The sequence below is a fragment of the Homo sapiens genome, chromosome 14 (assembly GCF_000001405.40).
Source record: "Homo sapiens chromosome 14, GRCh38.p14 Primary Assembly".
Taxonomy (NCBI): domain Eukaryota; kingdom Metazoa; phylum Chordata; class Mammalia; order Primates; family Hominidae; genus Homo; species Homo sapiens.
This window is the reverse complement of record NC_000014.9, coordinates 35785470-35799021: the sequence shown is the minus strand read 5'-3', so window position 1 is coordinate 35799021 and position 13552 is coordinate 35785470. Positions and strand designations below refer to the sequence as shown.

The following is a 13552-nucleotide window of genomic DNA, read 5'->3' as shown; positions in this document are numbered from 1 at the left end:
TCTTTGTGTACTTTTTTTTTTTTTTTTTTGACACAGACAGCTGTGTTGCCCAGGCTGGAGTGCAGTGGTGCAATCTTGGCTCACTACTACTTCCACCTCCTTGGTTCAAGCGATTCTTTTGCCTCAGTCTGCAAAATAGCTGGGATTACAGGCATGTACCACTACGCCTGGCTAATTTCTTTTTTTAGTATTTTTAGTAGAGATGGGTTTTGCCTTGTTGGCCAGACTGGTTTCGAACTCCTGGCCCCAAGTGATCGTGTGCCTGGGCCTCCCAAAATGCTGGGATTACAGGCATGAGCCACTGTGCCCAGCCGATATTTCTATTCAGTATAATTTTGTTTCTGCATGAAGGACTGCCTTTAACATTTTTTTCTGTGATGATGATCTGCTGGTAATGGATTCTTAAAAAAATGTTTTTGGATACATAATTTGTACATATTTATGGGATACATGTGACATTTTGATAATCAAGGTATTTAGGATATTCGTCACCTTGAACATTTATTATTTATTTGTGCTGGGAACATTTCAAGTCTTCTCTTACAGGCTGGGCATGGCGGGTCATGCCTGGAATTCCAGCACTTTGGGAGATCAAGGCAGGAGAATTGCTTGAGCCCAGGAGTTTGAGACCAGCCTGGGCAACAATGCAAGACCCTGTCTCTACAGAAAATTTAAAAAATTAGCCAGGTGTTGTGGCATGCACCTGTGGTCCCAGTGTTTCAGGAAGCTGAGATGATGAGATTGCTTGAGCCCAGGAGATTGAGGCTGCCTACAGTCAGCCGTGTTCATGCCCCTGCACACTAGCCTGGGCGACAGTCCAAGACCGGGTTTTAGGGAAAAAAAAAAAAAAGCCGAGCGTGTTAGCTCGCACCTGTAATCCCAGCATTTTGGGAGGCTGAGGCTGGTGGATTAATTGAGCCCAGGAGTTCAAGACCATCCTAGGCAACAAGGCAAAACCCCACCTCTACAAAAAGCACAAAAATTATGCAGATGTGGTGGCAGCCGCCTGTGATCCCAGCTACTTGAGAGGCTGAGGCAGGAGGATTGCTTGAGCCCAGGAGGTCGAGGCTGCAGTGAGCTGTGATCATGTCAGTGCACTCTAGCCTGGACAACAGAGCAAGACCCTGTCTCCAAAAAAAGAAAAAAAAAGTCTCTTTTAGCTATTTTTTTTTTTTTTTGAGATGTAATTTTGCTCGTTTCCCAGGCCAGAGTGCAATGGTAGGATCTCGGCTCACTGCAACCTCCGTATCCCGGGTTCAAGCAATTCTCCTGCCTCAGCCTCCTGAGTAGCTGGGATTACAGGCAGGTGCCACCACTCCCGGCTAATTTTGTATTTTAAGTAGACACGGGGCTTCTCCGTGTTGGTAAGGCTGGTCTCGAACTCCAGACCTCAGGTGATCCGCCCTCCTTGGCCTCTCAAAGTGCTGGGATTACAGGCGTGAGCCACTGCACCCGGCCTCTTCTAGCTACTTTGAGATACACAATATATTGTTAACTATTGTCACCCTACCATGTTATCAAATGACAGAACTTATTCCTTCTAACTAGCTGTATGTTTATATGCATTAACCAACCTTTCTTTATTCCTCTTCCTCTGTATGTGATGGATTCTTTATGCTTTTGTTTGTCTGAAAAAGTCTTTACTTTGGCATCTTTTTTTTTTTTTTTTTGAGACGGAGTCTCGCTCTGTCACCAGGCTGGAGTGCAGTGGCATGATCTGAGCTCACTGCAACCTCCACCTCTCAGGTTCAAGTGATTCTCCTGCTTCAGCCCCCTAGTAGCTGGGACTACAGGCACGCACCACCACGCCCAGCTAATTTTTTGTATTTTTAGTAGAGATGGGGTTTCACCATTTTGGCCAGGATGGTTTTGATCTCTTGGCCTTGTGATCTGCCTGCCTCGGCCTCCCAGAGTGCTGGGATTACAGGCGTGAGCCACTGCGCCTGGCTTTGGCTTCTTTTTTAAAGATACTTTCGGGAGGCTGAGGTGGGCGGATCACGAGGTCAGGAGATCGAGACCATCCTGGCTAACACGGTGAAACCCTGTCTCTACTAAAGATACAAAAAATTAACCCGGTGTGGTGGCACGCGCCTGTAGTCCCAGCTACTCAGGTGGCTGAGGCAGGAGAATTGCTTGAACCCAGGAGGCAGAGGTTGCAGTGAGCCAAGATCCGAGATCGTGCCACTGCACTCCAGCCTAGGCAACAGAGCGAGACTCCATCTCAAAAAAAAAAGGATACTTTTGTTCTGTTTAGAATTCTAGGTTGATGGCTTTTTTTTTCCTTTGTTCTTTGAAGATTTTACTCTACTGTATTCTTGTTTGTATTGTTTCTGATAAGAAGTCTGTTATTATCTGTATCTTACTTTTTATGGAAAATGTCATTTTCTTTTCTGGGTGCTTTTAAGACCTCTTCATCACTGGTGTTGAGGAGTCTGATTATCATATGCCTTGGTTAGTTATTTTTCATATTTCTTGGCTTAAGATTAATTGAGCTTCTTGGATTTGTGGGTTTATAGTTTTCATCAAACTTGGAAAAATTTTGGTCATTATTTTCCCTTCTTTCTCCCCGCCTTACGTTTAGAACTCCATTTACTACCGTATTAGGGAATATTAATATTAGATTAGTAAGAAGTATTATTAGTATATTGGAAGGTCTCATAGTTTACTGATTTTTTTCCTCTGCGTGTTTCATCTTGGATAGTTTCTATTGCTATGTCTTCAAGTTCACTAATCTTTTCTTCTGCTACATGTAATCTGCCATTCTATCTAGTTTATTTTTTAATCTCAGAAACTGTAGTTTTTATCTAGTTCATCTTGGGTCTTGTTTTATATCATCTATGTGTCTTCTTAACTTTTTGAACATATGGAATACAGCTAAAATGATATACTTCTCTGCTAATTGTGACATCTCTTTCAGTTCTAGAATTTCAATTGATCATCCTCTTTTCTTATCCTGGGTTGTTTTCCTGATTCTTTGTGTGCCTGGTAACTTTTGGCTATCTGATATTCTGAATTTTACTTTCTTATATTTTGGATATTTTCCTATATCTGTAAATTCTTTTTTTGTTTCGTTCTGTTTTTGGGGGCAGGGTCTCAGTCTGTCACAACCTCCTGGGCTCAAGCAATCCTCCTACCTCAGCTTCCCGAGTAGCTGGGAACTACAGGTGCATGCCACCACACCCAGCTAATTTTTTTTTTTTTTTTTTTGGTAGAGAAATGGGGTTTTGCTATGTTGCCCAGGCTGGCCTCAAGCTCCTGGTCTCAAGTGATCTGCCCACCTTGGCCTCCCAAAGTGCTGGGATTACAGGTGTGAGCCACCGTGTGTGGCCACCTATAAATTCTTGAGCTTTTTTCCGGGATACAATCAAGTTATTTGAAAACAGTTTTATTATTTTGGGTCTTGCTTTTATGATTTGTTGGGTGGGTCCATTTAGGGTTAATTATTGTCTAGTATAAGGCAATACCTTCCTGAGTATTCGACCCAAGGCCCCACAAATTATGAGATTTTATTTTTATAGTCCAGCTTTTGGGAACAAGCACTCTTCCCAGCTCTGTGTGAGCACCTGGTACTGTTCCCTCCAATACTTCAGCATGGTTCTTTCTTCTGTCTTGGGTAGTTTCCTCATAAGTATACTATCATCATACTTAAAGGGGACCCTCTCTAGTCTCCTGGATTCTCACTGTGTGTAGCTGTCTCCTTCTTGGTGCTGTGTCGTGTGAACTCTGATTGCCTTGGTCTTCCTGGGTGCTTGGCTTCACTTTCTTAATTCATGGAGTTTGCTGGGTCCACCTGGATTTGCTTTCTCCTCACTACGACTTAGAAGCTCTCCTAAGTCAGTAAGCTGGAGTGGTCATAGGACACACCTTGTTTGTTTGCCATCTTTCAGAAATCACTCTCCTCACCTGATGTCCATACATGCTGAAACAATTAAAATAACACACACGAGAAGCAACAGTTTTCAAGACATTGGACATCAGTTGCTGATAATAAGAGGTTCTCTTAAATGAATGAGACTGAAAGTTGGCTTTATACCAAGCAACTTGGTCCCCATTTTTTACTTTTTTATATTTAGAGAAGGAATTTGTTATCATAAATTGATTAGTAAAAAATGTCTTTCTGTAATCTGAATGTATTTATGGGTTCACAAAGAAATATCTTTCTGAGTAAAATATCTTTACTTACAAAGTATTCAGTAGGTATAAATGGCAATACATAAATACAGATTGTATATTTTATTAAATAAATGACTTAAAAAGAGTATGGATTGGCCGGTCACAGTGGCTCACGCCTTAATCCCAGCACTTTGGGAGGCCGAGGTGGGCGGATCACGAGGTCAGGAGATGAGACCATCCTGGCTAACACGGTGAAACCCCGTCTCTACTAAAAATACAAAAAAATTAGCCGGGCGCCGTGGCGGGCGCCTGTAGTCCCAGCTACTCGGGAGGCTGAGGCAGGAGAATGGCGTGAACCCAGGAGGCGGAGCTTGCAGTGAGCCGAGACTGCGCCACTGCACTCCAGCCTGGGCAACGGAGGGAGACTCCATCTCAAAACAAAAAAACAAAAAGAAAACAAAAAAAATAGTATGGATTAACAGATTTGGCTGAAAATCTAAGAATGTGTGAACTGTAACCTGCCTATAAAAGTAAGCCAACTAACTGTATATGCGTGTGTGTGTGCATATATATAGATATATATAAAATAAATTTATATAGAGATGGGGGTTTCCCTATGTTGCCCTGACTGGTCTTAAACTCCTGGGCTCAAGTTATCTGACCGCCTCGACCTCCCAAAGTGCTGGGATTACAGGCATGAGCCACTGTGCGCAGCCAAACTTGATTATTTTTAGAGTTTGATATACAGTGTTAGTAATCCTGTATACATGACATTAGATGCTTTTAAATTCTTTAATTTATATATAATGTAATGTATGTTCTTTAATTTGAATCTGTCTGATTTGAAAAATGAACTTGACCTCATTGAACTACTTTATATATTTATGAAGAATTGATTTACTTTGCAGATTATTGACATAAAGTGTTACTGATTGACCTTAACAGAACAAGCTTTTTCAAATATTGTAATCATCTTTATATTAACATTTTGTTTATTAAGGATTTTATTGCATCTAAAGGATTTTACGTGGCTTATAGGATTGAATAAAATGTGGAATAGAACAATTAATGATAAAACAAGCAACAACTGAATAGCCATCACTTAAAGGAAACATCAGTTTTCAGAGATGAGCTGATTACAGCCATAAGGCATTGAATTTGGTTCTTAGATTTCCTGGTACCTAAGGTGGAAAGAGAAATGTGTTGGGTTACAAGCTTTCAGTATCTTAGAAAAGAAAGCATCCCTTTGTTGTTGTTGTGTTTGGTTAAAACATTTTTTTAATTCTAAATTCACTGTGTGTGTGTGTGTGTGTTTGTGTGTGTATCTAATGTCTCTTCTCACTGAAGGTACACATTATAGAAATAGACCTTGGAGAGCCAGGCGCGGTGGCTCACGCCTGTAATCCCAGCACTTTGGGAGGCCGAGGTGGGTGGATCAGCTGAGGTCAGGAGTTCGAGACCAGCCTCAACATGGAGAAACCCTGTCTCTACTAAAAATACAAAATTAGTCGGGCATGGTGGTGCATGCCTGTAATCCCAGCTACACGGGAGGCTGAGGTGGGAGAATTGCTTGAACCTGGGAGGCGGAGGTTGTCGTGAGCCGAGATTGTGCCATTGCACTCCAGCCTGGACAACAAGAGTGAAATTCCGTCTCAAAAAAAAAAAAAAAAGTAGACTTTGGAGAGAATAGCAGAATAGGTGATGAATACGTCTACTTTAATAAATGGCATCACCATCCTCTTGTCATAGGTTACTAAGACAAGAAACTTTCATCTTTAACAATGTGGTAGAAAAAGATAAATTTATGTTGGGACTGCAGCTGGAGTTTGAAATGTCTATGGGGCAACCTCACATCTCCCTAGCCCACTACTGCTCTTTTCTGGCTTTATAATAATATTTGAACCTGTTCCTTTTTTCTCGGTTCTTACCATCATTTCTTTAGTTTAAATTTTTATTGTTTCTTGCTTGAACTTTTGCAGCAGCTTACTAGTTGATCTCCCTATGCAGGTCTTTTTTTTTTTTTTTTCCCCTCTTGAATCTCTTACATGGCCTTGTCACAATCTATCTTTCTTTCTTTCTTTCTTTCTTTCTCTTTCTTTCTTTCTCTTTCTTTCTTTTTTTTTTTTTTTTTGAGACAGGGTCTCACTCTGTCGCCCAGGCTGGAGTGCAGTGGCACGAGCTCACTGCAACCTCTACTTGCCGGGTTCAAGCAATTCTTATGTCTCAGCCTCCTGAGTAGCTGGGATTACAGGCATGCACCGCCATACCCGGCTAGTTTTGGTATTTTTAATAGAGATGGGGTTTCGCCACGTTGGCCAGGCTGGTTTTGAACTCTGGGCCTCAAACAGTCCACCCGCCCTGGCCTCCCAAAGTGCTAGGATTACAGGCATGAGCCACCATGCCCAGCCAGGTCCTGTAGCAATCTTTCTAAAGCACATTAAGAGCTTGTCACTAGCTGGCATGGTGGTTCATGCCTATAATCCCAACACTTTGAGAGGCTGAGGCGGGTGGATCGCTTGAGGTCAGGAGTTCGAGACCAGCCTGGCCAACATGGTGAAACCACGTCTCTACTGAAAATACAAAAATTAGCTGGGCGTGGTGGCAGGCGCCTGTAATCCCAGCTACCTAGGAGGCTGAGGCAGGAGAATCTCTTGAACCCAGGAAGAAGAGGTTCCAGTGAGCTGAAATCGTGCCACTGCACTCCAGTCTGAGCAGCAGAGCAAGACTCTGTCTCAAAAAAACCAAAAGAGCATGTCACTAACTGCTCTAAAACCCTCTATGGCTTTCCTTTGCCTATGTGATACAGTACAAAATCCTTGGCCAATATTTAAGGCAATCTGTTATCTGATCCTAGCCTCCCTTTTCAGCTAAGTGTTGAAGTAGTTGAATTATATAAAAAAACAAAGCAGTGTAATAACATTCTTCAAGATGTCTATTATATAAATAATTTTTAGGTGACAGTGTTGCAAATGCATGCTTTTTTTTTTTTTTTTTTTTTTTTTTTGAGACAGAGTCTCGCTCTGTCGGCCAGGCTGGAGTGCAGTGGCAGATCTCGGCTCACTGCAAGCTCCACCTCCTGGGTTCACGCCATTCTTCTGCCTCAGCCTCCTGAGTAGCTGGGACTACAGGCGCCCGCCACCACGCCGAGCTAATTTTTTGTATTTTTAGTAAAGACGGGGTTTCACCATGTTAGCCAGGATGGTCTCGATCTCCTGACCTCGTGATCCGCCCACCTCAGCCTCCCAAAGTGTTGGGATTACAGGTGTGAGCCACCGTGCCCAGCCCATACTTTTTTTTTTTTGAGACAGAGTTTCGCTCTTGTCTCCCAGGCTAGGGTGCAATAGCGCGATCTCAGTTCACTGCAACCTCCGCCTCCCAGGTTCAAGCAATTCTCCTGCCTCAGCCTCCCGAGTTGCTGGGATTACAGGCGCCTGCCACCAATGCCCGGCTAATTTTTTTGTATTTTTGGTAGAGACGGAGTTTTGCCATGTTGGCCAGGCTGGTCTCGAACTTCTGAATTAAGGTGATCCACCTGCCTTGGCCTCCCAAAGTGCTGGGATTATACCTTTTTAATGTAAATACTTTGCACGTTAAGTTAAGGTGAAAGACATATGTTGCATATGCCCTTATCTGAATTCTAATTCTCCTCTGAAGATGCAGATCTCCTTGTATCCGTGCTCTAATAAGTGATGGATTCTCCCATGCCTGAAGAAGTCAGCCTTCCTACTATTGTAATATTGCTACTGTTATGCCTCTGTTGCTGCTATTATACTTCAGCACCCATCTGAAAATTCTTCTTGTTTTGGGGTGCATGCTGCTGGAGCACACCATCTTTCAAACTTTGTCGCTGCTCTTATTTCTCAACCTCCTGGGTCACTTCATTAAGTTTATCAAGGACTTCAGTACCTGGTTTATCATCTTAAGACTGCTTCATCTGTTGCTACCATTTTAAGGACTTTTAATAGATAATGAAATTGCTCTTTTAACTTCTCATGTTCACTGTATTTGATATACTTAAATAACTACGCTACTATTCCATTTAAGCGATTACCCTTTTGCAGACTTCTGTTACAAAAGTTTAACAAAAAGTTTAATATGAAAATGTACATGACCTGATTTTTACGTAATAATAAAATTGGCCCTTTGGAGAGGGGACTTGAATTTCTCTGCTGAACAATCATTATTTATACTTGTTCCAAGGTTTCTTTTTTTTTTTTTTTTTTTAGACAGTCTCTTCTTGTCACCCAGGCTGGAGTGCAGTGGCGCGATCTAGGCTCACTGCAGTCTCCACCTCCCCGGTTCAAGCAATTCCCCCGCCTCAGCCTCCTGAGTAGCTGGGATTACAGGCACCCGCTAGCACACCTGGCTAATTTTTGTATTTTTAGTAGAGATGGGGTTTCACCATGTTGGCCAGGCTGGTCACAAACTCCTGACCTCAAGTGATCCGCCCGCCTTGGCCTCTCAAAGTGCTGGGATTACAGGCCTGAGCTACCGCGCTTGGCCTGTTCCAAGGTTTCTAACACTATGGTACTATTTCCTCATATTACCACCATTCCAATATCATTGTTGCCCAAAGATCCCCACAATTCTTTGAACATGTCTGCCACAGTTTAACTTCAATTCTAACTTCTTTTTTTTTGTTTTTTGTTTATTTTTTGAGACGAGTCTCACTCTGTCGTCCAGGCTGGAGTGCAGTGGTGAGATCTCGGCTCACTGCAACCACTGCCTCCAGGGTTCAAGCTATTCTCATGCCTCAGCCTTTGGAGTAACTGGGACCACAGGTGCATGCCACCATGCCTGGCTAATTTTTGTATTTTTAGTAGAGATGGGGTTTCACCATGTTGGCTAGACTGGTCTCAAACTCCCGGCTTCAAGAGATCCACCTCCTTGGCCTCCCAAAGTGCTGGGATTACAGGCATGAACCATTGCACCCGGCCAATTCTGACTTCTTGTCTATAAATTTTTTTCAACTCAGGAGGGTGAGCTTTGCTCGTGGTGACTACTTCATGGGCCCAGAGCTGCTGTGAAATGGAATTTGTGGCTTCACTTATGCTCCTGTGATTCAAGCCCTGGTGTTTTGTGGTTGACCAAAGTTTTCTTATGTAACCAAATCCTACCTTTAATGTTGATATTTTCTGGTGTTCTGTCCTCCAGATCTCTTTTCTTCTAACTCTTTATATCAGTGGTCCCCAAACTTTTTGACACCAGGGACCAGTTTCGTAGAAGACAGTTTTTCTACAGACAGTGGGGGTGAGGAATGGTTTCGGGATGAAACTGTTCCACCTCAGAAGATCTTCAGGCATTTGATTTTTTTTTTGAGACAGGGTCTTGCTCTGTCACCCAGGCTGCAGTGCAGTGGCACGATCTCGGCTCACTGCAACTTACACCTTCCAGGTTCAAGTGATTCTCCTGCCTCAGCCTCCCTAGTAGCTGGGGCAACAGGCGTGTGCCACCACCCCTGACTATTTTGTATTTTTAGTAGAAATGGGATTTCACCGTGTTGCCCAGGGTGGTCTTGAACTCCTGACCTCAAGTGATCCACCCACCTCGGCCTCCCAAAGTGCTGGGATTATAGGCCTGAGCCACCACCAATCAGGCATTAGATTCTTATAAGGAGGGTGCATTCTAGATCCTTTACATGTATAGTCTGTGATACCTGTGCCGTAGCTAATGATATTTATACTAGACTGCCTTCCCATCACCCTTATATCTGAAAGCTTCTAGTCTTCTTTAAAATCTCAGGGCAGAATCAATAGATAGCCTCTATGAAGTCTTCCCTATCATGTAGGTATAGGAGTTTTTTGTACACTGAGCATCTTTCCCTCTAGTAGTTTGATTTTTTTATTACAACATATTTATTTATTTGCTTGCCTTCCTGAGGGCAGATGTGTATCTTTTCATGTTCATATTCCTAGACTTAGCATGGCGCCTGGCATATAATCAGTGTTCAGTAAATATTATTTAGTTCATGAATGAATATACTAGGTTTGAGGGGAGCAAAATTGCTGTTTTGTGAACAACTCATGAGCAAGCAATGGACAATGATAGAAAAGACATTAAAGTCAGCATTCCTTGGGTTGTCTTAAGTATTGGTGCAAAGAAATTTGGTTCATAAACTAAGGTCCATAATGTAATAGAGAAAAACAAACAAAAATATAAAACAGGACTTTAACTGAAAAATATTTATGACATTATGGCAGAGGGTATAAGATAATCTTCCTTGTTAAAAACTTTAGACAAATTATGTTTAACAGAGTTTAATTGAGCAAAGAATTTGTGAATTGGGTAGCTTCTCCACCCCTCACTATGTTGCTGAAGCTGGTCTTGAACTCCTGGCCTCATGTGATCCTCCTGCCTTAGTCTCCTAAAGCACTGGGATTACAGGCATGAGCCACTGTGCCTGGCTTCAGCTATATTATTTATTTAAAACTTTTGATCTTCAGTTTACCTGTATATAAAATTAAAATAATAACACCTCAAATATGAATGAAAAAATGAATTTGAACCACAGTTTATGGAAAAAATTCAAGCATCATTTGACTTTTCATAGGAACCTTAAGGAAATAAAATTGAATCAGGGATGTTGTGACTTGCTTAATGTTAAGAAGTAGAATTTGTTCTTAAAAAAACAAACTGAGTACCAGGTGCAGTGGCTGAAGCTTGTAATCCTAGCACTTTGGGAGGCCGAGGTGGGTAAATCACGAGGTCAGGAGTTTGAGACCAGGCTGGCCAACATGATGAAATCCCGTTTCTACTAAAAATACAAAAAATGAGCTGGGCATGGTGGCGGGTGCCTGTAATCCCAGCTACCCGGGAGGCTGAGGCAGGAGAATCGCTTGAATCCAGGAGGCAGAAGTTGCAGTGAGCTGAGATCACACCACTGCACTCCAGCCTGGGCAACAGTGTGAGACTCCATCTCAAAAAAATTAAATAAAATAAAAAACTGAGTAGAAATCCCTGAATGATCTTGATGTGGTTTAGATTCTGTTCTTCTGTCTCAGTCTTTATTAGAAATGGGTAAATTAGGGTCTGGGTGCAGTGGCTTACAACTGCAATTCCAGCACTTTGGGAGGCCAAGGCAGGAGGATTGCTTGAGCCCAGGAGTTTGAGACCAGCCTGGGCGACATAGTGAGACCCCCATCTCTACAACTTTTTTTTTTTTTTAATTAGCTGGGTGTGGTGACATGTACCTGTTGTCCCAGTTACTTGGGTGACTGAGGTGAGAGAATTACGAGCCCAGAGGTCGAAGCTGCAGCAAGACCCTGTCTCAAAAAAAAAAGAAATGGGTAAATTAGAAAATTATTTAAGCTATGTGTTAGAAAACAAAGGAGAATTAAATGAATGAAAGGAAATAAAATTTCTTGTTGGTATTTATTTCAAAAAATGCAAGGAATTCACCTAGCAACAATTACTCTTTCCTTCTCCACCCAAACCTAAAATAGAATAACTAGGATAAGAGGTGTGTTTGTGTTACCAAAAATTTGTTGTTTTAATGTGAATTCTTTTAGATTGTTAGCTTCAAGGTTCCCAGTCGTCTTCCCTTTTCCATCAATTGTTCTTAGGGCTAAGCCACTTACTGTAAATATGCCATTTCTTATAAAATGTGTTTAATAAAAATAATTACCCGTTCTTGCTTATATCTTGTTCTTTGAAATCTGAAAATGATGGAGCTGATCTGATCTCTATCTGATCTTCACAGATAGTGTGAGAACCATTTGAATAAATAGATACAGTGCTTTGCTAAATTTTGGGTAACTAAAGGAGTAAAGGAGTTAATGGTATAGTAAAAGAGAATCATGTGTCAAATATGAAACATGTTATGAGTATAAGAGAGAAGAGTCATATCTAAATGAGTGGCTCAGAGAAGGCTTCATGGGGCAGGGACATTTGATCTGTGCCTTGGAAGATGATGATTAAAATTTCAATAGATAGAAGTGAAGGAAGAGAGCCTTTTGTAGTTCATAAGCATGATGATTGGGTTTTCACACTCATATATGAGATGTACGTCCCACAAACCTTTTTATGATGTTGGCACATTACTCGTCTGATATGATTTTTTTTGAAAAAAGACATGAAGGAAAAGCAGTTAGGATAAGAGCACAGACATGAATGCAGGCAAGTGGAAGGCAGTGGTCCTTCTAGCTTTTAAAAATAAAGATATTAGGCCTCGACCTTAAAATTTCGATTTAATAGCAAGGTAAATAGAAAAGAACTAGTGTTTGTGAGAGATACTGTGGAGAGATACTTTATGGATTTGGTAACCAGTTTTTTGTTTTTTGTTTTTTTTTGAGACGGAGTGCTGGAATGCAGTGGTGTGATCCCGGCTCACTGCAACCTCTGCCTCCCGGGTTCACGCCATTCTCCTGCCTCAGCCTCCCGAGTAGCTGGGACTACAGGCGCCTGCCAGCACGCCCGGCTAATTTTTTGTATTTTTTAATGGAGACGGGGTTAGCCGGGATGGTCTCGATCTTCTGACCTCGTGACCTCGTGATCCGCCCGCCTCAGCCTCCCAAAATACTGGGATTACAGGCCTGAGCTACCGCGCCTGGCTGGTAACCAGATTTTAATGAAGATTTCAGAAGTGGAGATGATGCCACTTCCCTGACTGTATCACTCTACTTTTTAAAACCCTGTTTTACTGGTGAATTTATAACAGGAACATATTTCTTACCTCCAGCACCACTATCAAGGCTGTTCAGCCTACACACTGAAACTCTGTATCATTCCTTCTCTTATGTTTTTTTTTCTTTTTGAGACAAGGTCTCACTCTGTCACCCAGGTTGGAGTGCAGTGGCACAATCTCGGCTCACTGCAACCTCTGCCTCCCAGGCTCAAGCAATTCTCCCAGCTCAGCCTCCTGAGTAGCTGGAACCATAGGTGTGCACTACCACGCCCAGCTAATTTTTTGTATTTTTTTGTAGAGATGGTTTCGAACTCTTGAGCAAGCACAAGTGATCCACCCACCTCAGCCTCCCAAAGTGCTGGTATCAGGCATAAGCCACTGTGCCTGGCCCATTCCTTCTTCCCATAGTCAAAACCACTGCTACTCAAAATGTAGTCCACAAACTGGTACTAGTTTACTGACTGTTATTACAGTTCTGCAACAGCTTAATTATGGAAATTGAGTGTGTTGAGAAGGTCATCTCAGCTTGACAGTACTGTGATATCCAAGCATGTGATTAGTGGACTTGTCTTATGAAATGGGGTGTAGACCAATCCTGGTGCTTTTCACCTTATTTTCTAGTAATACATTTGTCGTAAAGCACTGGTCTGTGACAAATTGGAATTTAAAAACCAAAACAAAAAAACTGGTCCTTCACAGACAGTTTGAGAACACGAGCTATACTGTGCATTTAGAATTAACTTCCTCTGCCTTTATCCTCTGTTGTTTCAAAGTATATTTTCTCTTCCCAGTATAATAGGATTTTCCTTATTCAGT

At 42.0% G+C, this 13552-nt stretch overlaps 1 protein-coding gene and 1 non-coding gene across 22 annotated transcripts in view; both read left to right on the top strand.

The window, feature by feature from the left end:
- Nucleotides 1–13552, top strand: part of RALGAPA1 (Ral GTPase activating protein catalytic subunit alpha 1) — a 270940-nt gene that overhangs the window by 10274 nt on the left and 247114 nt on the right. The gene's annotated exons all lie outside the window — the stretch shown is intronic.
- LOC124903425 (small nucleolar RNA U13) lies at nucleotides 12060–12163 on the top strand. The gene has a single exon (XR_007064408.1). It is a non-coding gene; the product is annotated as a small nucleolar RNA U13 (small nucleolar RNA).